This window comes from Homo sapiens, chromosome 5 (genome assembly GCF_000001405.40).
Source record: "Homo sapiens chromosome 5, GRCh38.p14 Primary Assembly".
NCBI classification, from domain to species: Eukaryota; Metazoa; Chordata; class Mammalia; order Primates; family Hominidae; genus Homo; species Homo sapiens.
In genome coordinates this window covers 154,173,132-154,195,289 of record NC_000005.10, presented here as the reverse complement: position 1 = coordinate 154,195,289, position 22,158 = coordinate 154,173,132, and the positions used below count along the sequence as shown (strand labels likewise).

Below are 22,158 nucleotides of genomic sequence, written 5' to 3'. Positions count from 1 at the left end.
CACGAAACCTCTGCAAACACCGTCAGGAGCATTTAGCTGCCATGGGGCTTACTTGTAGCTGCCAGGTTTGCCTCAAGGTGCTTTTGATTCAGTGAGGAGATCCTGATGCCATCTCTGTGTAAGAGCTGACTGTGGACAAGGTACAATTAGCAAGCTAGATGGTTATCTTTTAAATGGGCTTTTGCTTTTCATTCCTGATTCCGTTATCTGTTACCGTGTCACTGGAACCAACAGATCAAAGGCTGAACATCCTTAGACTACAGCCTGAGAAAAGACATTCAAATATGAACATACCCTTAAGTTGTGGCCTCATTACAAGTTAGATACAGAGGCCTGTTTAAATATACTATCACTATTCAGATGTGTTTCCAAGCATACTCACAGAACCTCAGGATGTAAGAGTTGGAAAAGCCCTAACACAGTATCTATTCCCTACATTGCTAATGAGTTTCCATATGTCGTTAACTCTACTTGAGTAGCCCTGCTGAGAAACAGTCTGAGCCCAAGTCTGGTATTAGTAATGAAAAGGTTGATTAGCAATGTCTGCCCTGGCCATGGGAGGGGAAGCATCGTTACAATATGCATTTGCCTTTTCCCTTCTGAATCTAAGCCTCACTTAGCAGATGAGGAATCCAAGGCCCAGAGAGGTTAAACCTCTTTCCTGAGGACACACAGTGAGTTTAGGGCAGGAGAAAGGACTAAAAGCCAGGTCTCTGTTCCCAGGCCTTCCTCAGCTGGACTCCTTGGTAGACAGCAAGCCAAGAATGACAGAAAGAATGTAGGGAGCCGGATTTGTTCTGGCAAATCAACAACCCTTCCCTAGTGGCATCAGATTTCACCTGGGCATGCAGACAGAGGAGTGATTAGCAAGCTAAAGGATACTAGCCCTTCTGTGGAAAATTAAGGAAATCGTTCCAAGGCTACATTTCTATACTTAACTTTCTGATGGGCAAGGCTTCTGCCACCAGGAAGACTGAAAAAAGAGAAAAAAACATTGATTTCTGGATGTTCTAAGAATAAAGTTCAGCTCTAACACAATGAGAAAGAAATCCTGATACTTGAAAATTAAAGTCACCGGTATTCCATTATTCCACCAATTTCTATTCCACATATGCTATTTATCCAGTGAAGTCATTTTTCAACAAGAGATTATGGCTCAGAAATGAGGAGAGACTGCACTGAGTTTCTAACTTGAGCTTTTAATAACCTGTCCCAAACCTGGAATATGAAACAGACTGTTGAATTAAACCAAGATGTTAAACAGATTGGGGCTTGGAATGAGAGGGACCCACAAATTAAAAGGAAGATGTCTTCAAGGCTGGCATTTCTTGCTTGGTTTTGCAGCTTCCCAAGAAGCCAACTGTCTGACCAGATGACTGCTGAAATCCTAGAAGCATTATGTGTCCTTTATAAATCAGCTATCCCACCCAGCTCCAGAGGTACTCCCAGGATGAGCTGGCATGAGTTATGTAGACTTTCATTCTAGCAGATGATAAACACTATAAATTTGAAACTCCGTTCTTTAATCCAGTGGAGAAATCAAGGAGTTAGAGGACTACTCAAGTAGTGGATATGTTACTCTCAAAGAATCTTCTTTCAAACCCATATGGAACACATTTTTCATTTGGATAAAGTCCTGTCAGACTTCCCTCCAGAGCCTCTGCAGTTATTTCTACCAGAAGGATCAACGAGATGCTCAAAGATGATTCTCAACAATTACAAGAATGACAGGCTGAGCTCAGAACTGGTCAGCCCTGTTGAAAAAGCTCTGTATGCTCAAGATGCCAGATTTCCCAGATAGCAGCCTGGCATGTTACATGTATGTTCCAGTACACTGGGATGAGGGATGGAACACCATCACTCTGAGAAGTCAGCCTCTTTCCTCAAGGCCAGCTGACATTCAAACAACGGACTGGGGGCCAAGCCCAGTGCTCTGCATCTGTGGGAGAGTGAAACAAAAAGGGGCTGTGTGGAAATTTGGCAGGGCGTTCTTGAAAGGCAGCAGATGAATGCTGAATCCTGTAGCACCTAGAAGAGCTTATCATTGGGGAAACAGCTCCATTCTGCTGCTCCCATGAAGCAAAGAGATTTTCTTTAAAGCAAGAATAATCAGTTGGTATTCCCCCCAAACCCCCAAACCCCCTTCACCACTTCTTCCTCCTCCTCTTCATGCTATTCCAGAGAAAAAGAAATGAACAAAAACTAGATCTTCCCAGATGAGCCTGTCTATCCATTTCAGTTAGGGGCTCTGAGCAGCACCCAGCTGTTGCTCCCCTCTCTCTCCCTGCCCAAAAGTCTGCCTTACTCTATCAATACCCTCTTGCACAAGTGAGTAATTTACTTTGAAAGCTCAGGCCAAACTGGCAGTTAACCTTGACCTTCTCTACCCATCTGGGTCTACAGAAATGAAAATCAGGATGTCTTTGGCATCTATTGCAAATGAAATACGAGGTCTTTCTCCAAGCAGAGGCAGAATGTCAAGCACTATTTTAGAATGGGCTACAGCTATTCTAAAGGAGAGTTTGCACTAGGGTAGGACACTCCCCCTTGACCTGGAGCTGTGTCCAGTATGGAGCCTCCACAGCTAGGGATGCTACAAGGAACTCTGGACTCAAGACAGAAAAAAAGAAGGGACCGTTGTATTCCTCATTGATTAACTGATAGTATCACAGAATGTTAGAACTGGACCAATAATCATGGTTTACAGACCAAGAAAGTAAGGCTCAGAAAAGGAGATGAAAGGTGATCAAGGACACACACAGTAAGTTAGTGGTAGAGCTGAGGTCAGAACCCTGGAACTCCTGACTCTGATGCTGGTACTGAATAGGAACAGAGGAAAGAGATTTCATGAACGGAAAATCCATACAGATACAGAATTTCAGGGAGAGAGGTCTAAGCTAGCTGTCAGGGTTTGAACCAGGGGTTTAGGAAAGAGATGGAAACCTTAGTTTCTAAACAGTAAGCTCTACCAGAAAGATCAATGAGACCCTCTGGGATGCTTTGCAGCAATTAACAGAGTTACAGGCGGAGCTCAAATTGGTCAGCTCTGTAGCAAAGAGCCCTCTGTGCTCCAGATGCCAGACTGCCTAGACAGCAGCCTGATACTGGGAAGAATAAGGAAAACCATCAATCTCAGAAAAGCCAGCCTCTTTCGTCGAGGCCAGCCAACAGTCAGTCAAGTCTGACCCTGATACACAAATTATCCACTTCTCATGGGACCAGAGAAATCCCGTAAGAAAGCCTGAAATGTTCCACTATATGAAACAGTCTAAGCAATACACTCACTAGCACCTCCTGGGAGGGTGGGAGTGATGTGACAGAGCTTCTGCTATGAGGGAGCTGCTAGTCTAAATGCGTGCACGCACACATACACACAAACATACGTGGGTAAGTTCAAAGGAGGCAGAAACCATTCCGATCCCAGTTTTGGCTGCAATAAACACTACAACTAACCAGACTAGACAAGTTCAGAAGAGATAGGGAAGGCTTCTGGTGTTCCATCCTCAGGACACTGGGCACCAATAGCCTCTGGGACATTTTGGGGGTCCCCCCACCAGAGCCCCACCTCTGGACTCCCATAAGGTCAAAGGCAGCAGGTCCCTCAAGGACCAGGAGCTTACCCCCTTCTCCACCCCCAGGGGCTTGAAGCTTTAAAGGGAGCATGATCTTTACATTCTGCAAGGAATCCACAGGATCTGAGAAAGGAAAAGGCTAGAGTTGGGGCGGGGGTGTTGAATAAATGGGGAGAGGAGGAAGGCCCGGGTGTCTCGTTGGGCAGATGAGAAATCAGGAAAAGGGCTGACCTGAGCAAAGAACACTGGGATCAGCAGGTAGGGGTTGTGGGGGGGGGGGGGTGGGAGGAGGGAAGCAGAGAGGACCTGGACACCAAATAGAAGAACCAGAATCTTCATTCCTATTGGCACAAGGCAGGAGTCATCCTGGGATACAGGGATGCAGATAGGATCCTTCAAAAGAGATCCGCTGGAAGACGTCAAGGAATACCAGACGGGGACAGAAAGGAAGGTGGTAACATGTGGTGAGAAATAGCGTCCTGAGTGCTAGTTCGGACTCAGTCTCTGACTGGCGTGGGACCCTGGACAAGTCCCGACAGGACTTAATTTTCCCATCCGGAAAATGGGAAGAGCTGAAGAGTCTCGGAGCTGACTCTGAGGAGGCAGACAGCAGAAGGTGGAGGAAGGAACCACAGGCTAAAAGTGAATTCGGGAAGGGGGTGTTCCCGGCCTGTAGCAACGGGGGGACTCACCTGTCCCGCCGCCGGCGCCACCGCCGCCCCCGATCCCCCAGGGGTGCCGTCGGGCTGCCGCTCGCGGTACAGCGCCCAAAGCCCCACGTTGGGCAGGAGGACCAGGGCCGCCAGCACCAGCGCCACCGCCTGCAGGAGCCGCTTCTCCTTCCGCCTCATCGGGGCCGGTCAGCCCCGCCGCGCCCCGCCGGCCCCGCCGCGCCGCCCCCAGCTCCGCGCGTCCGCCCGTCCGCCCGGCGGCGGCAGCAGCTCAGCCAGCAGAAGCGGCTGCGGCGCCGGCCCCGCTCCAACTCCGCGGCACTTCCGCCGCTCGCCGGCCGGGGAGCTGGGCGCCGCCACCACGCCGCCGCCACGAGGGGGTCGTCGCCGCCGCCACCGCCCCCGGGCCCCGCCGAGCCGCCCGCCCCGCGCCGCCTGCCCCCGCGTCGACCGCCGAGTCTCTGCGCTGCAGGCTCGGCCCTCTCACGGAGCGTCTCGGCCCGCCCGGGCGCTGCAGGATGCCGGGCCGGAGCGCTTCCCCCCTCTCGAGCCGCGATGGTCCGTCCCACTCCTCGGCGGCTCCCCCGCCCTCTGGAGCTTTGCGAAAGTCCCGGAGTTGGCGAGTTGGGCGCTAACTGGTGCGGGCTGGGCACCGCTGGGTGGGGTGCATGTCCGCTCGCCCGGGTACCCTGCCGCCCCGCCCGGCAACCTCCGCCCGGGACTGCAGCCGAACCTTTGCTGCCTCCCTGGGGATATGCAAATAGTGCTGGGGCCCCGCCGGGCGTTCTGAGCCTGGAGCCCCCGGGGCTGTCACTTCCAGCCCACCTAGGCTCGGCCCCCAGGACCTGCGGACCTACTTTGACCCCGGCGACTCGGTGTTCCCGGCCATGAAACGGGGCCACAGCCGTGCTGCACGCTCACTGTTCCGCGGGCGGGCCCTGGTTTTCTTCCTCTAGGGGGGCCCTGGCGTTAGGTGTGAACGCCCTCTGCAAACTGTAGGGAGCTGTGCCCGGCCGCCGCCCGTCTGTAGATCCTGCAAACCGGCGGGTGGGTAAGTGACGGTAGCCTCTCTGCAGCACCTTTCCTCACGCAAGTCCAACCCCCTTGGAGTTAGAATGCCCTGCATTCTCACGCGTGCTTTTGGATCCTAAGCGCACTGAGCCCTTCCCGGAAAGCTCTCAGCAAACCGTTGGCGAGCGCCACTATGTGCCAAACACTGTGCCAGGCTCTGGGATGAAATGAAAACAGACCTGAGCCCTGACGTCTGGGAGCTGAAACATGAAACACGTAATTTCACTAGACCAGGCAATGTGTCTGTAACTGTGGCGAGGGCTTTGACAGAGGAGTCGGGCTTCTGGGCGATGCGGAGGGCCGTGGAGCCGGACTCCGACGGTGATGCCAGCCAGCGGCTCCTCCTCGGGGCGCTCGACGCTGGTCACTTAGCTGCCTCCTCCCTGATGCGGTGGAACGGAGCACCCCCTTGGCTACCTTACTCTCTGCCACCCCCACATTCGTCCTCTTGATTCTCTGCTTCTCTAGCTCAGCCGCTGACCTTCGTGCCTAGCTGCCACTAGTCCTTGACCAGCGTTCTGGCAACTCTTGCCTCCAAGTTCTTCCAGCTCCAGGCTGAGCGATGGGGATTCAGTTTTCTGACATCACAGCTCAGTTCTTGATTTCTGCAGCAAAACCTTCAAGGCTTCCATCACCTCGGCTCTAGAGTCCATCATGCTCCTCTCCTATGACCTGCTAGGGCTGATCAAACGTTCTGTCTCCTGCCGTGCCCTGCCCTGCCCTGCCCTGAGCTTCGCTTAGCCTGTTGCAGGCTTTGTGTTTTCCTTCTTGTGCTGTTGACCACGCAGCTCCTTCTACCCATAAAACCCCCTTCTCTAGGTCGGTGGAAATCTTGTTCATCCTTCCGTGTCTAGTTAAACTGCCACCTCCTCCACGAAGCCTTCTAAAACTCCTCCTCAGGGAACTGTTTTCTTTCTTTAGATTTCCATCACAATAATGCTTACCTTTTATTGAGTGCTTACTCTATGTCAGGCAGCCCTTGAGATGCATTACCTCTTTAAATGCTCACAGTTACCCTGTGAGGTACATGCTTTTCTTATACCCATTGGCGAATGAGAGTCAGATTTAAAAATGCATGTAATCCCAGCACTTTGGGAGGCCAAGGCGGGCAGATCACGAGGTCAAGAGATCGAGACCATCCTGGCCAACATGGCGAAACCCTGTCTCTACTAAAAATACAAAAATTAGCTGGGCGTGGTGGCGGGCACCTGTAATCCCAGCTACTTGGGAGGCTGAGTCAGGAGAATCGCTTGAACCCAGGAAGCAGAGGTTGCAGTGAGCCGAGATCGTGCCACTGCACTCCAGCCTGGCAACAGAGCGAGACTCTATCTCAAAAAAATAAATAAATAAATAAATTAATTAATTAATTAAATAAATAAAAGAATGTGGCAGCCAGAATGATCTTGTTTTATCCAAGGTTAGATTGTATCGCCCCTCTGCTCAAATCCCTGTAGTGGCTTCCCACCTCTCATTAGGTTCCTAAGAAAGTACAGGACCCTACAAGCCCATATGTGATCAGCTCTCACTCCTTACTGTCCTTATTGTGCCCCAGTGACATTGGCTTCCTTGTTGTTCCTCAGAGCATCCCTCAGGCAGGCACAGTCCTGCCTCAGTACCTTTGCACCTGTTGTTACCTCTGCCTAGAATGGCCATTTTTCTATTTCTAGCTCCTAACTCTATGTCTTTTTTAAACACATTTTTTTGTGATAAACGTTTGTAAAACTGATCATTTGAACTATTTTAAAGTGTACAATTCAGCGGCATTATGTAAATGCACATTGTTCTGCAGCCATCACGGCTATCTATCTCCAGAACTGGTCATCAACCCAACTGAAACTCTGTACCCATTAAACACTAACTCCCTATTACCCTCTCCCCACAACTGCTGGCAACTACCCACCATTCTACTTTATCCTTTTTGAATTTGACTATTCTAGGTACCTCATGTAAGTGGAATCATATCATATTAGTTCTTTTGTTTCCAGTTTATTTCACTCATAATATTTTTTAGATTCACCCATGTTGTAACATGTATCTGAGTTTCATTCCTTTTTTTTTTTTTTTTTTGACAGTGTCTTATTATGTTGCCCAGGCAGGTGTGCAGTGGTGCAGTCACTGGTGCAGTCATAGGATTATAGCTGGTTGTAGCCTCAAACTCCTGGGCTCAAGCCACCCTCCCACCTCAGCCTCCTAAGTAGCTAGAACTACAGGCCCATGCCACCACACCCAGCTGATTTTTTAAAAATCTTTTGTGGAGACCGGGTCTAGCTATGTTTCCCAGGCTGGTCTCAAACTCCTGGCCTCAAATGATCCTCCCACCTTGGCCTCCCAAAGTGCTGGTATTACAGGTGTGAGCCACTACGCTCAGCCAAATTCCATTCCTGTTTTCAAGATTGAATACTATTCCATTGTATGTATGCCACATTTTGTTTATTCATTCATCAGTAGATGGACATTTGGGTTCTTTCTACCTTTTGGCTACTGTGAATAATGTTGCTATGAATAGCCCTATGTCTTCTATACTGCAGTGGATACACAGTATTTATGTAATTAAATAATGTTGCAAAAAACTTTTAGGTGCCACTATAGCACTGAGCACAGTGCTGGTAACAGAGCAGCTAGAATGTTCTTTTTACACACACAAGGCTAACTCTGCTGCTGGGACTTGCCTATGGCTTCTCTTCATGTTAGAATATGTCTATGAAGCCAGGCATGGTGGCATGTGTCTGTAGTCCTGTCTACTCTGGAGGCTGAGGTGAGAGGATTGAGCCCAGGAGTTCAGGCTGCAGTGAGCTATGATCACAGAATTGCACTCCAGCCTGGGTAACAAAGCAAGACCAAGTCTCTCAAAACAAATAAACAGAAAACAACCTACAATCTATGAGAATCCTTACCACAGCCCATAAGGCCTTACATTATTTGACCCAACTTCTAATTTTTGCCTTCTTTCCTTCTCTTCTAGTTACACTGGTCTTGCTATGTTCCTCAAATGTATACCAAATTGATGATTCCCTCAGGGCCTTTGCAAATTTACTGTGCCCTTGTCTAGAAATCTCTTCCTCTACCCCTCTGCATGGTTCTCTCTCCGCCTTCTCTCAGGAACCAGATCAGGGGTCCTGCCTCAGAGAGAGCTTCCCTGACCAGCTGATCTAAGATATCAACTAGCACCACCACCATCTCCATTTGCTTGATTTTTCTCCAAAGCAGGTATCATTTTTGGTCTCCCTGTCTAGAATGTGAGTTCCAAACAGACAGGAACTTTGTATTTGCCTTCTATGGTGTTCCGTGCCTCTGTCAGCACATAAAGTCACGTACTGTTCAACAACATTTCAGTCAACAATGAACTGTATATACCAATGGTGTTCCCATAAGACTATAATACTCTATTTTTACTATACCTTTTCTATGTTTAGATATGCTGAAATACACAAATACCATTGTGTTACAATTGCCTACAGTATTCAGTACAGAAACATGCTGTACAGGTTTGTAACCTAGGAGCAATAGGCTATACCGTGTCGCCTAGATGTGTATTAGGCTATCCTATCAAAGTTTGTGCAAGTATGCTTTATGATGTTCTCTATGAGAAATCACCTATTGACACATTTCACAGAACGTATCCCCATCACTAAGCCATGCACAATTGTATTTCCCTTCATTGTGAATCAGAAAACTGGTGCTCCTTCCAGGCAGAAGAACTTACAGAAAGGATCCCCCCTCTCCTTGTGCTAAAGCAGCCAGAACAGAGCCAAGGTGTGTGGATTTCAACTCATATTCCCACCCAGCCACACAAACTAAGCTGTGGCCTTTCCTGGGTCTGGCACACAGTAGGTGTTCAATAAGCCCCTGTTGAGTGAAGTACTGTATAGCAGTGAAGATCAAGTACAGGAGGGAAGATACTCAGCATCTCTCTCCTTCCCATCCCCTCTTCTAGCTCCTTAGAAGATTCTGCACAAAATTGGATTTGAGCTTTTTCTCATGTCACTTGTTGATCAAAGCTGCATGCCAGCCCAGTCTGGCCCCAATGAGGACTCTAGCCCAAGAACCCAGCTTTAATCCAGGGACTCTTTGATCACTTTGTACAATATGGGATGCACCAGGCAGGGGGTGGGCTTCTGGGGCTTTATTCCGCTCGCTGAGACAATACCATTTGAGACATGGGCAGTCTGTTAGCTCTGGCTGGTTTCCTGGGAGAACTGATCTGGTCATTGACTGAAATTGAACAAAAAATGTTACTTTCAGACTGAGCCCTCTAGGCCTATTGTGGGCGTTAAATAAGATAATGTGCATAAAGGGCTTACCGTGCAGACCCTGGTCGAATGTAAGCACTAGTAGCTGGGTGAAATAAAAGCTCAACAACACAGGAGCGTTGAGAGGGATGAACAGAATTTCAGCTGTCAGGCAAAACCTTCTGCTCTGGCCTGTGCCTCTCTGCTCTCATCTCCTGTTACTCTCCTCATTCGCTCCAAAGCAGCCACACTCTCCTTCTTCCTGGTCCTTGAAGGCCCTCTGCCCATGCCAGCCCCAAGGCCTTTGCATTAGCTCTTGTCTCTGCCAGCTGTTTCCCCAGATCTTCCTCCACTGTTAGCTCCCTTTCATCCTTCAGGTCCCAGACTACATATCACCTCTTTACAGAGACCTTCCTTAACTACCCAGGCACTCTCTCCCATACTTTACATCCTGCCATGTTTCCTTCACAGTGCATACATATCCCTCTTTGCCATAGTCTCATTTATGTGTTTATTTACTTGTTTATTATTGGGCTTTCCCAAATAGAATATCAGCTGCATGGGGCAAGGGCCCTGTCTGCTCATTGCCTGCTATATTCCTCCATCCTGGAACATTTGTGCCTGACACGCAGAAAGGGCTTAAAACATACATTTGATGAATGAGAAGCTCCTCTCTTTCCCCATATTCCCATCTTTACTTTTTTTGTTTTGTTTTTTAAATGAGCTGCGTATTCTCTTGCTCACTCTTCGGTTTCTTATCTTGTCATCAGTAACAACAGGTCTTTCAGTATCCCCCCAGAATATACTTCAGCAAGAAGGGTCAACCAGAGGAGAGGTGACAGGCGCAGGCCTTCAATCTCCCTGATGAGGATATGAAAAGCGTTCCTACTCGATGTCCTCACCTTGGCTTTTTTAGGGTCCCTTGTTACTGACCCCATTTGTCAAGAACTATACCCTCAGGCTCGTCTGGACCAGCCCTGAGCTGAGAAGATGTAAAAGTAGAATGGGTCAGCAAGTCAAGAGATCTGCAGACCAACAGGTCTGCATGTCAGTCTAACTCTCTTTCACCTTGGCCAAGTCCCTTAGCTACTCAATTTCCTCATCTGAAAAATGAGAATAATTATGACTCTATAATGATATAATTTCCAGGTTGATATGAGAGAGGTCTGCTTGACTGCAAGCAAAACCCAGAATGCTATAAGTGTTGGACTTCTGTGTCTCCTGCAAATTTAAAGCCTTCTTGCTTCTTCTTTCCTTGGGCATCATCAAGCTCAAATGATACATTCTCAGAGAAGCCTGACCAACCTCCCTAAACAGAGTAAGCTCCCCAGCTATGGAACCTCTTAGCAATGCCTTTCCTTAACAGTCACAATGTTTACAGTTGCTGGGTCATTGTTTGATATCTGTCTCCCGCACTGGACTGTAAGTCCCATGAGGACAGAGACAGACCGTGTTTGGTTTTGGTATTGTTTGTTTTTAGTAGGCTTTACTTTTTAGAGCAGTTTTAGATTCATTGCCAAATTAAGTAGAAGGTACAGAGATTTCCTGTATACTCCAGTCCCAACACATGCATAGCTTCCTGAATTATCAGCATCCCCCACCAGAGTATTATATGTATTACAATTGATGAACTTGCATTAACATTATCATTGTCACTCAAAATCCATAGTTTACATTAGGATACACTCTTGGTATTATACCTCCTATGGGTTTGGACAAATGTATAATGACATATCCACTATTATAGTATCATACGGAGTAGTTTTGTTACTGGTGGACGGTATCCAGGTTTTTGGTGTTTTGAACAAAGAATTGGACAAAACGCACAAAGCAAAGAAAGAATGAAGCAAGAAAACAGATTTGTTTAAAACAAAAGCACACTCCACAGGGTGGGAGGGGGCCCGAACAAGCAGCTCAAGGGCTTGGTTACAGAGTTTTCTGGGGTTTAAATACCCTTTAGAGGTTTCCCATTGGTTACTTGGTGTATACCCTATGTAAATGAAGAAGCTGAAGTGAAGTTACGAAGTTATTTACTTGGTGTACATCCTATGCAAATGAAGAGGATGTTTCCTGTCATAGCAGAAGTAGAGTTACAAAGTTATTTACTTGGTCTTAGAAAGTTGGGCTTTTTCAGTTTGATTTAGTTCTACGAAGTCCTTAGGTTCCCTGCCTCCAGGCCTTATTCTCCTGCCTCAGTTTTACTGCCCTAAAAATCCTCTGTGTCCATTTATTCATCCTTCCTACCCTAACCCAGCAACCACTGATCTTTTTACTGTCTGCATAGTTTTGCCTTTTCTAGAACGTCATATAGTTGGAATTACACAGTATGGAGTAGCCTTTTCAGATTGGCCTCTCTCACTTAGCAATATGCATTCAAGGTCCTTCCGTGTGTCCTTTTGTGGCTTGATAGCTCATTTCTTTTTAGTGCTGAATAATATTCCATTGCCTGGATGTAACACAGTTTGTCCGTTCACCTACTGAAGGACATATTGGTTCTTCCAAGTTTTGGTAATTATGAATAAAGGTGCTACAAACATCAATGTGCAGGTTTTTGTGTAGACATAAATTTTTGACTCCTTTGGGTAAATACTAAGGAATTCAATTACTGGATCATATGGTAAGGGTTTTTCTAGTTTTTCAAGAAACTGGAAAACTGGCTTCTAAAGTGACTATACCGTTTTTCATTCCCACCAGCAATGAATGACAGTTTCCATTGTTCCACATCCTTGCCAGCTCTTGGTGCTGTTAGTGTTATGGGTTTTGGCCGTTCTAACAGGTGTGTAGAGGTATCTCACTGTTTTAATTTGCATTTCCCTTGGCCACATGTTAGGACTTCATGAGGCTGTGTCACAGGCACGTCCCTAACCTTAGCAAAATAAACTTCCTAAATTGATTGAGACTTGTCTCAGATACTTTTTGGTTTATACAAGCAAGCACATTAAAAAGATACTCCACATCACCGGGTGCAGTGACTCACACCTGTAATTTCAGCACTTTGGGAGGCCAAGACGGGCGGATCACAAGGTCAGGAGTTCAAGACCAGCCTGACCAACATGGTGAAACCCCATCCCTACTGAAGATACAAAAATTAGCCAGGCGTGGTGGCATGCACCTGTAATCCCAGCTACTCAGGAGGCTAAGGCAGGAGCATCGCTTGAACCCAGGAGGCAGAGATTGCAGTGAGCCGAGATCATGGAACTGCACTCCAGCCTGGGTGACAGAGTGAGACTCCGTCTGAGAAAAAAAAAAAAATATTCCACATCATATTTCATCAGGGAAATGCTATCTGTGTGGGAGTAGAATGGGAGGCAGGTTTTCCCTAAGCAGTTCCCAGCTTGACTTTTCCCTTTGGCTTTGTGGTTTTGGGGTCCCAAAGTCTGTTTTCCTTTCACACTTGCCATGTGTGTTTTCATTCCCTGGCATATCCCCAATACCTAGCACAGTACCTACCCCAAAATAGGCGCTCAACAAACATCTGAGAAATAAATGAATCGATCAGTCAATTAATTAATAATCCTACACCCACCTCTTTAAAATCTGTATTCAGAAAACTCATTAACACTAGTCTCAATGACCCAAATTTCTATCTGCGCCAGGTTGGTCATTTAACAAGGCTCAAACTTATAATACAGAGGAAGAGAAAAAAATTCCTGGAGCTGAAATTTCCCCACCTGTACCTGGTCAGCCTCAATCAGCCTAGACTTTGCTTCTAGCTTCCTGTGTGATCTCAGACAGGTCACTCAAATTCTCTGAGCTTCAGGTTTATCATGTGTGGGTTTGTGAGTGTAATGGCAGCAGGAAGGAGAGATGTCTAGATAAACACAGAACATGGTTGTATTAAATAAAGCAGTTGAACCGGATGCTCTTTAAGGTCTTTTTTAATTTCAAAATTCTGTGACTAAATCCTGCAAGGTAGGATGGGAAAAGTGGGGGCAGACATGGAACACCACTTGGGATTCAATCCAGTTTCTGCATCTAGTGGCACTTCAACTCCTATTTTGAATGCAAAGAAAGGGTTTGCAGGATGCCTATGTAGGGGTGAAGGGAATTTCTCCCTCCCCTTCTGAAAGTTTGAGTCTTTAAGTCTCCAAAATAAACTGGTAATAGACAAACTAACAGGAGAAAAGACCTACACATTTATTAATGTGCCATTTGCATGGGAGCCACACAAAATATGAAACTCAAAGAAGGGCCAGATGGTTGAAGCTTAAATACCCTCATCATAAGAAAGAATAAAGTGGGGGATGTAGGCAATTTTAGAAGAAGAGTAAATGATTTTTAAGGGAGATGAATGAGCCTGGAGAACAGACAATAACCTGGGACAAAGTTCCTCAGAGGTGGTGACAAGTTATGAAAAGGCGGGGGGCAGAATTGCACTGTGAACAAAGGTTGTCTTATTATGCAGATAAAGTCTCTCAGGTAACAACCCTCAGAAGAGTAGTTGAAAGAACAGGTGAAAAGTCTGTCTGTGTGTGGTATCTGGGCTTGGAGACTTTTAGTTTCCTCTCCTGCAGAAGGAGCTCCTCCTCTCTGGTTAACATAGATTTCAGAGAAGGAGTCTAAGACATTAATTCCTCTACTTCTGAAGCTTATTTCTGAGGGCTGTCAGTCTCCTTAGTTCAAAGGAGTCAGCATGCAAAAGTGCCATATTTTGGGGTGTCCTTTTCTGAGCCCCAACACCTATTTGAAATGACCTCTAGATGGGAACTGCCTGTCTCCCTTTCTCTTTTTCTCCCAGACCCTACTTTGTCATTTCCACAATGAGATGCCAATTAAATCAATCCTGTCAACTATAAAGGAACACCACTGAATCAAGACAGTAGATATCAAAAGTACCTCAAGTAGGATACACTTTGAAAGAGCAAACAGAGAAGGCCACAAATCTCAAACAAAGAATAAATATACTATGTCATTGGGTGGACCCATCTCAAACAGAGCATTAGCCAGTAGGGTCAGATACAAATATCAGGTGTATAGGGAGCCATCCTCCTCCTGGCACTGCCATGAAAGTATCAGGGCTTGGTAAACGAGAGTGCTTTCTGTTTAATTACTTTTCATTTTTGTACAAAAGAAAAAAAAGGTATACAAAACACAGAGAGGTGGTGGGGCACAGGACCAAAGGGGGCTTCCTAGGAGTTTGAGACTCTTGGAAGAACGGCTGCAGTCTGTGGGCACCTCTGTAAAGTAAGAGGATTGGATACTCTATAACCCGGTAGTCTGAACCTTAGCTACACATTAGAATCACCTGTGGACCATTAAAAGCTCTGGATGCTTAACCTGCATCCCAGACCAATTAAGTCAGAATCTCTGGGAGTCAGACTCAGCCATCCCTACATGATTCCAATTTGTAGCCAAGTTTGAGAGAACCACTGCTCCAACATGGCTCTCAGGGCTCTAAAATCCTGCTAAGGTTTCTTTTTGTCCAAGCGGTAGGTCCTCTATTGTTCCACTAGGTGGCACCTTCCAGCAAACTTCAGTGGGTCCAGAGAAGTCGCTTCTAGGTCTAACTGCAAGGAATGAATTCATGAAGCAGGGCTTGGTGGTCTTTGCTGCCAACGAGGGGTCTGCACTCTTGACAAGAAGGCTGAACTTGTTTAACAACTTGCTGGTGAGTGCTGGAGCCACAGATGGTTGATTCATCCCTGTTTAAAAAGGTGAGGCTGGGCTGGACGCAGTGGCTTACGCCTGTAATCCCAGCTACTTGGGAGGCTGAGATAGGAGAATTGCTTGAATCTGGGAGGCGCAGGTTGTGGTGAACTGAGATCGCGCCACAACACTCCAACCTGGGCGACAGAGCGAGACTCTGTCACAATAAACAAACAAAATAAAAAGGTGAAGCTTGAAGAGAGATGTCTCTATCTCTTATGACTGGGTTCACCTCTTCACGGATGCACTCTGGTCTCTTCCCCCACCCCCACCCATCTCTCCAGCAGGATTGATAAACTCCTCTCAAAAGTTCTCAAGGAGCCCCATTATGTGCAGTAGTGTTCTTTTTATCTGGATAGTTAACAACACCCTGATTTTCTTTGAAGATTCACCCTTCTGCATCTCAGAACTTAGCCAATCAGAGCAGTAACCCCCTTCAGCTGCAGTGATTGGTCCAGGGACGGAATCTGAACAATCGAGGTTCAATTCCGTGGCTTTTGTATAGAGGCTATCAAGAAAGTAGTGGCTTCTTCCAGCGGATTGTTGCGAGCTGGATGTGAGCCCCACCGTGAGGCGTGTATTGGACCTCTTGACTCGGCTCCTCCGCACCTTCTCCCCACCCCAGGGAGGCGGTGTAGACTACATCAGTGGGCTTCCTTGCTCTATGTTTTCCTGTTGGGTTTAGCCCTTGAGGAGCCAGGGCAGGATTTCAGAGGGAGGGAGAAGAGCCAGGTCAGAGCATTTCTTTCCCCCGCCATTCCCTTGCTGCAACTTTGCCGCAGGCTGTCTGTGTCCTCCACAAAAGTCCATGGCTCCCATCGCGCAGGCTTCTTGAAACAGTCCTCCCTTTCTAGATTCCAATAACTGCCCCTTTCCTCACCCTTCAGGGCTAGGGCTGGACATCACACGCTGTTTCTGGCCCCATGGTACTGCCCCGTCCCTCATGGTTACACTATACCCTGCCCCATTTTCCTCCTATTAAACTCTCTTCCAATGTTCCAGTGTGAGAGTGCCATTCGTTTCCTGCAGACCCTAACTCAATCAAGGGAAAAGCTTCTTGAGAACCTGAAAACAGTCCCAACACAGGGGAAAGTGGAGCTGAGAGATCAACCAGTTACCCAAGCCAACCCCTGATGTCATCCATGCCTCCGGGTCAACTCCCCTCCCACATTCAAACAATTACCTAATAATGCTGGTTTTATTGCCTAATAAATTTTAAATGTATCCCTTCCCCTCTAGGCCTATTATATGAGACATATTTCAGGTGCCTGTAAGATGAATCCTTGAGCAGAAACCTGCTACTTATAATGACTCCGTTTTCTACTTTGTAGACAGCCTCCACCCTCATTTCTGGGCTGGTCCTTGACCTATGACTTTCCTGAACTGTCCTAAGGCAAGTTCAAAAGGATGAGCTGAGCCATTCAGATTCTATCTCAGAAATTGGAATCCAGTGACACAGAGGGAAGAAGGCAGCTGGTGGTGGCCTCTGAAGGTGGCAGTTCAGGTAGCACAAGGGTGGAGATTACTCTTGGGCCACACTGAAGGAGAAGATATGGGAAGGCAGAAACCAGGAGTAACAGAGGAAGTGCTTCAGTCAAAAGAAGCCAGTGCAGCCCAAGTATGGGAGGCAGGGATGCTGAGAGAGAAAACTGAAAGAGAATCACCTTGCCTCCTGGTTTTCCAGTTCCAGTTCTGGTTTCTGGGATGCCTGACTAGACTGAAGCCCCTGCCTTGGAGTTTACGCCTTCCCTGACGTTATGAGTGACTCTGTCACTTACGACCAAAGGAGCCCTGGCCTTGATACTTGATACTCTTGACTCAAAGTCCAAGTTGTAGCCATTACCATCTCTCGCTTGAATTGTTGTATCTCTCACTCCTAACTCCTCTGCCATTTCTGTCCTGCATTCCCTAACATTCATCCTCTCCACTGGAGTGACCATTCTGGGATGCCAACTTGCCATGTTGCTTCCCTCTGGAGGTTTATTGTCCTCACAGTAAAGTCCGAGTTGCTGGCCTTACACTTTATACAAAACTGCTAGTCGCTCATTACCTTAATAATGCTATTTCTCACCCCCATGCCTTTGCTCATGCTGTTTCCTCCTCCAGGAATACCCTTCACATCCTCTTGTACTGATGAATTCTTACTCAGCTTCAATGCCATCTCCTCTTCCATCACTTCTTCACTTTCCCATCCAGTTTGACTAAGAACTCCTTCCTCTTTTTTTCTCATACTACTGTGTATATTCCTATTTTAGCATTATATACTAATAAAGATGAGGGTGATGATGTTGGCTAACATTTATGGACCTCTTATTACATACCAAGTGCTAACTAGCACCTTACAGATGTCTTCTCTTTTAATCCTCATTGAAACCCCATGAAGTAGTTCTTTTATTATTCCTACTTCTCAAAAGAGAAAACTGAAGCAAAGATGTCAGGTGACTTGCCCAAAATCACACAGATAGAATGTGGTTGACTCAGGTCTATTGTTCCTTTCTTTTTTTAAAAAACTAACAGTTTAATTGAGATATAATTCACATGTCATACAATTAATTTACGCATTTAAAGTGTACAAGTCAATGTCTTAATATATTCACAGCTGCGTGCAACCATCAACATAATCAATTTTAGAACATTTTTATCACCACAGAAGAAACTCATACCCATTGATTACTCATTGTTTTAATGCTGCTCTTAGCAGCTGGTGTGGTGCCTAGCACATAGTATCTGTTCGACCAGCACTTGTTGAAGAATGGATAGCTACCATATCTTAGAAGACAGGGAAAGGTGCAAGAGAGAGGCTCTTGAGGCAACGCGTCTGTCATTTCAACATCAATTAAGAGATTTGCCTGATTCTTTTGTTTATTTATTTTATACTATTTTCCTTTCTTTCTTCTTTTTTTTGCTCAGTCACCAGGATGATGACAAGTGACAGTACAGTGGTGTGAACAAGGTTCACTGCAGCCTTGACCTCCTGGGCTCAAGTGATCCCCCTGTCTCAGCCTGTGTAGCTGGGGCTACAGGTGCACGCCACCATGCCTAGCAAATTTTTTGATTTTTTTGTAGAGACAGGGTCTCACTTTGTTGTCCAGGTCATCTCGAACTCCTGGGCTCAAGCAATCCACCTGCCTCAGACTCCTAAAGTGCTGAGATTACAGGTGTGAGCCATTACATCTGGCCCTATTTTTCCTTAGTAACAGCCCCCACTTACTGGTGGAGGTGTGTTGTAGATATAGGAGTCTGCTCTTACCATTTGCTCAGGGTTTTTTTACATCTCTGTGGCCCCAGGGAATTTCTCATCCTCACATTTGAGTTCTGGGATATTGCTGGTGATAATCTAGGTGCTGGGTATTTGATTTTGATTTTCAGTGGGAGAGAGTAAAGCCAGATTGCTTCTACTCCACCATTTTGGTGACATCACTCTCTACCACTGATTAAGTATTTTTTATGTGTGAAACCTTACAGTGTGTGATCTGTATATATTATTAGCTTATTAAGCAACAAAACCTGGAGATAGATATTATTGTATCCATAACACAAATGAGGAAACCAAATGTATTAGTTCATTTATGTTACCATAACAGAATACCGGAGACTGGGTATCTGTGAAGAAAATAGGTTTACTTTGGCTCAGGGTTCTGCAGGCTGTACAGGAAGTGTGGTGCTGGCATTCATTCCTAGTGAGGCCTCAGAAAGCTTTCAAACGTGGTAGAAGGGAAGGGGAGCTGGTGTGTCACTTGGCAAGAGAGGGAGCAAGAGAGAGAGGAAGGAGGAGCCAGGCTCTTTAAACAGCCAGCTCTCTTGTGAACTCCTAACCATGGGGAGGGCACCAATCCATTCATGAGAGATCTGCCCCCACTAGGCACACCTCCAGCATTGGAGGCCATATTTTTCTTTTTCTTTTTCTTTTCTTTTTCTTTTTTTTTTTGAGACAGAGTCTCGCTCTGTCACCAGGCTGGAGTGCAGTGGTGCGATCTCTGTTCACTGCAATCTCCTCATCCCGGGTTCAAGAGATTCTCCTGCCTCGGCCTCCTGAGTAGCTGGGACTACAGGCACCTGCCACCATGCCCGGCTAATTTTTTGTATTTTTAGTAGAGATGGGGTTTCACCATGTTGGCCAAGATGTTCTCAATCTCCTGACCTCGTGATCTGCCTGCCTCTGCCTCCCAAAGTGCTGGGATTACAAGTGTGAGCCACTGTGCCCAGCCTGGAGGCCATGTTTCAACATGAGATTTTGAGGAGACACACATTCAAACCATATCCCCAAGACTCAGGGATTTCATTTGTCTAAAGTCAAACAACTAGTAATCAGCATCATCCTAATATTAAGTAAACAACTACTACCTTTAATAGAAGATTTAACCATGCTTAGATACTATGCTAAGTTCTTTATGAACATCACCTCATTGACTCATTTATGCATTCAACAGATATTTATTGAGTACCTACCACAAGCCAGGCATTGTAACAGATGTTAGGGATTGGGTGGTGAGCAAGCAGATGTTCACCCAGGATTCACAGTCTAGTGGTGGAAAAGGCATTGTAGAAATGAGCACATGAATAACAACTACATTAGATGGGAGGAAGAAGAAAAGACCTGTTGGCTGTTAGGGGAAGATCTGGTATTAGAAGCCACTACTCCTTGAATCCAGGTCCAACATTTTCTGCAAAGTTATACTAGCGTGATTCCTCTAGGATGTTTTCCTAGTGGGACATTGGGTTTGCCAATGGCTCTCTGAGCTGCTTGTCCCTGTAGGAAGTTCCTGCCACCTACTGAATGCATGTTCATATACACACATACACTCAGTGGGAGCTACACTGCCCATGCCCTCATCTGCACAGCTTGCCTAGGGAAAAACCAATGCTGTGGGCTTTGCAAATGTCTTATCCTCAGCTGGGGGATTTGCGTTTGAAAAACACTTCTCTGTATATGGGGCTGGATCTTGCTTTTATTACATAAATGATCCTGGAGATCACTTCATATAAATACATAGAGATCATTCCCATTCTCTTTTTCAGCTGCAAGTACTCCACAGTGTGAATGAATCAGGTTCAGTCTCCTATGGATGGACATTTGGAGTTGTTTTCAATCTCTGGCTATTAAAATAACATAATAATGAATAATCTTGTGTGCAGCTTGTTCTGTAGTGTGGAGGTGAATCTTCAGGAGAGATTCCTAGAAGTGGAAGTTGCTGGATTAAGGGATAAACACATCTTCAATTGTAAAGCTATCCTTTTGCACTCCTACAAGCAGTGTAGGAGAGTGCCTGGTTCTTCACAGCCTAGGCCCACACAATATTTTTTAAAGCATGCATTTTATATAAAAATTCACACTCCTGGTTTCTCTTAAAAATTGCAAGATCTATAAAAATTACACACACACACACACACACACACACACACACACACACACACACTGCAAGATCTGGCAACACTAGGCCTGTTTTCCTGCATGGCAATAACAAGCTAGGGCTGAGTGGTCGCCATAGCTCTGTGGGTCTTAGACGTTTCAACTGATCCAATTCAGCCCCTTCATCATGAAGATGAGAAAGGTCTACAGATTCATAGAGGCAGCTGAGTGGAAGTTAACTCCCAGTCTCTTGCATCAAGTGACCTCCAGAGTAAGTACAAAAGGGATGGGTAGCAAGGGAGGGTAAGTGTATAAAAGCACTGACAATTCAGCATTAAAATTGAAATTGTTTTTAGCATTTACTGAGCTCAGTAAATACATTGCACCACACTGTAGTTAGTTAAAGTGTGACTAATCCACATAGAGCAGAGTAACAAATTGGTTTCTATTTCTTCTGAGCAACCATAAAGAGGGCTAATGCCATAGCAGGAGGATCTGGGTTATGTATTCATTCATTCCCTCATTCATCAAACATGAACTGTGTGCCAGCCCCTGATCTAGGCACTGGGAATTTAAAGACAAACAAGCACTCGAACACAGGGATCTAAACACACAAGTATGGAAAAAACTTGATATAATGCAATAAGGGTTTTATTGTAGGAATGTACTACAGCCTGCTATGAAAGCCCAGAGAAAGGAACTTCTAATTCTGCTAAAGGGCACATGGAAAAGCTCACAAGGGAGGTGATGTTTGGGAGGATCCTAAATGATGCATAGGTGTTTGCTAAGAAAAAAAAGGGACATGGGAGAGACTTTCTTGAAGATAAACAATGTTCAAAGACAGAACGTGACAGAAAACCAGCTTAAAAAAGATTTGGGCATAAAAAAGAGGAAAAGGATGACAGAAATTTGCTGTCTTACTTAATTGAAAAGTCCAGGGACTTCGCAAGTGCTGTGAACTTCATGTGTTTAAAGGATGCCATCAAACCACAATCTCTCTCTCTCTCTCTGTCTCTCTCTCTCTCTCTCTCTCTCTGTCTTTCTCTCTCAACTCTTCTTCTTACTCATGATTTTTGCCCTCAGGCAGGCCACTCTCTCCAGATGACAGGCACCTGCCAGCAGCTCTAGGTTTACATTATCCCGACAGCTAGCAATGCCAGGGGAAATTTCTCTTTCTCAATAGCTTCACTAAAAATCTCATTCCGAGTTTCACTGGCTAGGTCTGGGTCACTTGCTTACCCCCAGAATAAGGAGTGAACTCTCACCTAAGTCTTCGAGTTCTGAGAGTAGGGCAGAATGAGTCTCAAAGGAAAATTAGAGTCCTGTGTTCAGAGGAAGGATGGATGGGTGCTGGGTAGGCAAAATCATCAGATCTGGAAACAGTGGTGGATTGAGAGTACATCTGTCTCATTAGTGATGGAAGAGTCTCTTCATTTATGAAGGAGGAAGTTGAGTCTCAGAAAAGCAAAGTGACTTATCTATAGTCACACAGCCTGACAGCAGCAGCGTCCGGGAGGAGTCCTAGTTCCCTGAATCTGAATCCCAGGACCTTCGTGCAGTGAGCATTCCCTTATCTGAGGAGGCAAAGGTGCCTTGGAGAGGGATGTGGGTGCTTCCAG

The 22,158-nt window shown here is 46.1% G+C and overlaps 1 protein-coding gene and 1 long non-coding RNA gene across 2 annotated transcripts in view, besides 6 other annotated features; one reads left to right on the top strand and one right to left on the bottom strand.

Moving 5' to 3' along the window:
* Nucleotides 1-4,557, bottom strand: part of GALNT10 (polypeptide N-acetylgalactosaminyltransferase 10) — a 230,252-nt gene extending 225,695 nt beyond the window's left edge. The window contains exon 1 of the mRNA NM_198321.4: nucleotides 4,265-4,557. Coding sequence (NP_938080.1) covers nucleotides 4,265-4,423 — 159 coding nt within the window. The 5' untranslated portion in view covers nucleotides 4,424-4,557. The remainder of the gene's footprint in view (nucleotides 1-4,264) is intronic.
* Nucleotides 4,262-4,321: a silencer, noted in NCBI's record as "silent region_16537". NCBI's record gives its function as "represses an Ori minimal core promoter by ATAC-STARR-seq in GM12878 lymphoblastoid cells {active_cell/tissue: GM12878}" and the evidence as "EXISTENCE:reporter gene assay evidence [ECO:0000049][PMID:35858748]".
* Nucleotides 4,392-4,471: a silencer, noted in NCBI's record as "silent region_16536". NCBI's record gives its function as "represses an Ori minimal core promoter by ATAC-STARR-seq in GM12878 lymphoblastoid cells {active_cell/tissue: GM12878}" and the evidence as "EXISTENCE:reporter gene assay evidence [ECO:0000049][PMID:35858748]".
* Nucleotides 4,562-4,671: a silencer, noted in NCBI's record as "silent region_16535". NCBI's record gives its function as "represses an Ori minimal core promoter by ATAC-STARR-seq in GM12878 lymphoblastoid cells {active_cell/tissue: GM12878}" and the evidence as "EXISTENCE:reporter gene assay evidence [ECO:0000049][PMID:35858748]".
* Nucleotides 4,682-4,781: a silencer, noted in NCBI's record as "silent region_16534". NCBI's record gives its function as "represses an Ori minimal core promoter by ATAC-STARR-seq in GM12878 lymphoblastoid cells {active_cell/tissue: GM12878}" and the evidence as "EXISTENCE:reporter gene assay evidence [ECO:0000049][PMID:35858748]".
* Nucleotides 4,872-4,961: a silencer, noted in NCBI's record as "silent region_16533". NCBI's record gives its function as "represses an Ori minimal core promoter by ATAC-STARR-seq in GM12878 lymphoblastoid cells {active_cell/tissue: GM12878}" and the evidence as "EXISTENCE:reporter gene assay evidence [ECO:0000049][PMID:35858748]".
* Nucleotides 5,182-6,147: an enhancer, noted in NCBI's record as "H3K27ac-H3K4me1 hESC enhancer chr5:153568703-153569668 (GRCh37/hg19 assembly coordinates)". NCBI's record gives its function as "activates a minimal SCP1, AML or CMV promoter by ChIP-STARR-seq in naive H9 embryonic stem cells {active_cell/tissue: H9 hESC(naive)}" and the evidence as "EXISTENCE:reporter gene assay evidence [ECO:0000049][PMID:30033119]".
* Nucleotides 5,211-20,310, top strand: LOC124901118 (uncharacterized). Its single transcript, XR_007059010.1, has 2 exons — nucleotides 5,211-5,294; nucleotides 20,209-20,310. It is a non-coding gene; the product is annotated as an uncharacterized LOC124901118 (long non-coding RNA).
* Nucleotides 20,311-22,158: the final 1,848 nt, after the last annotated feature.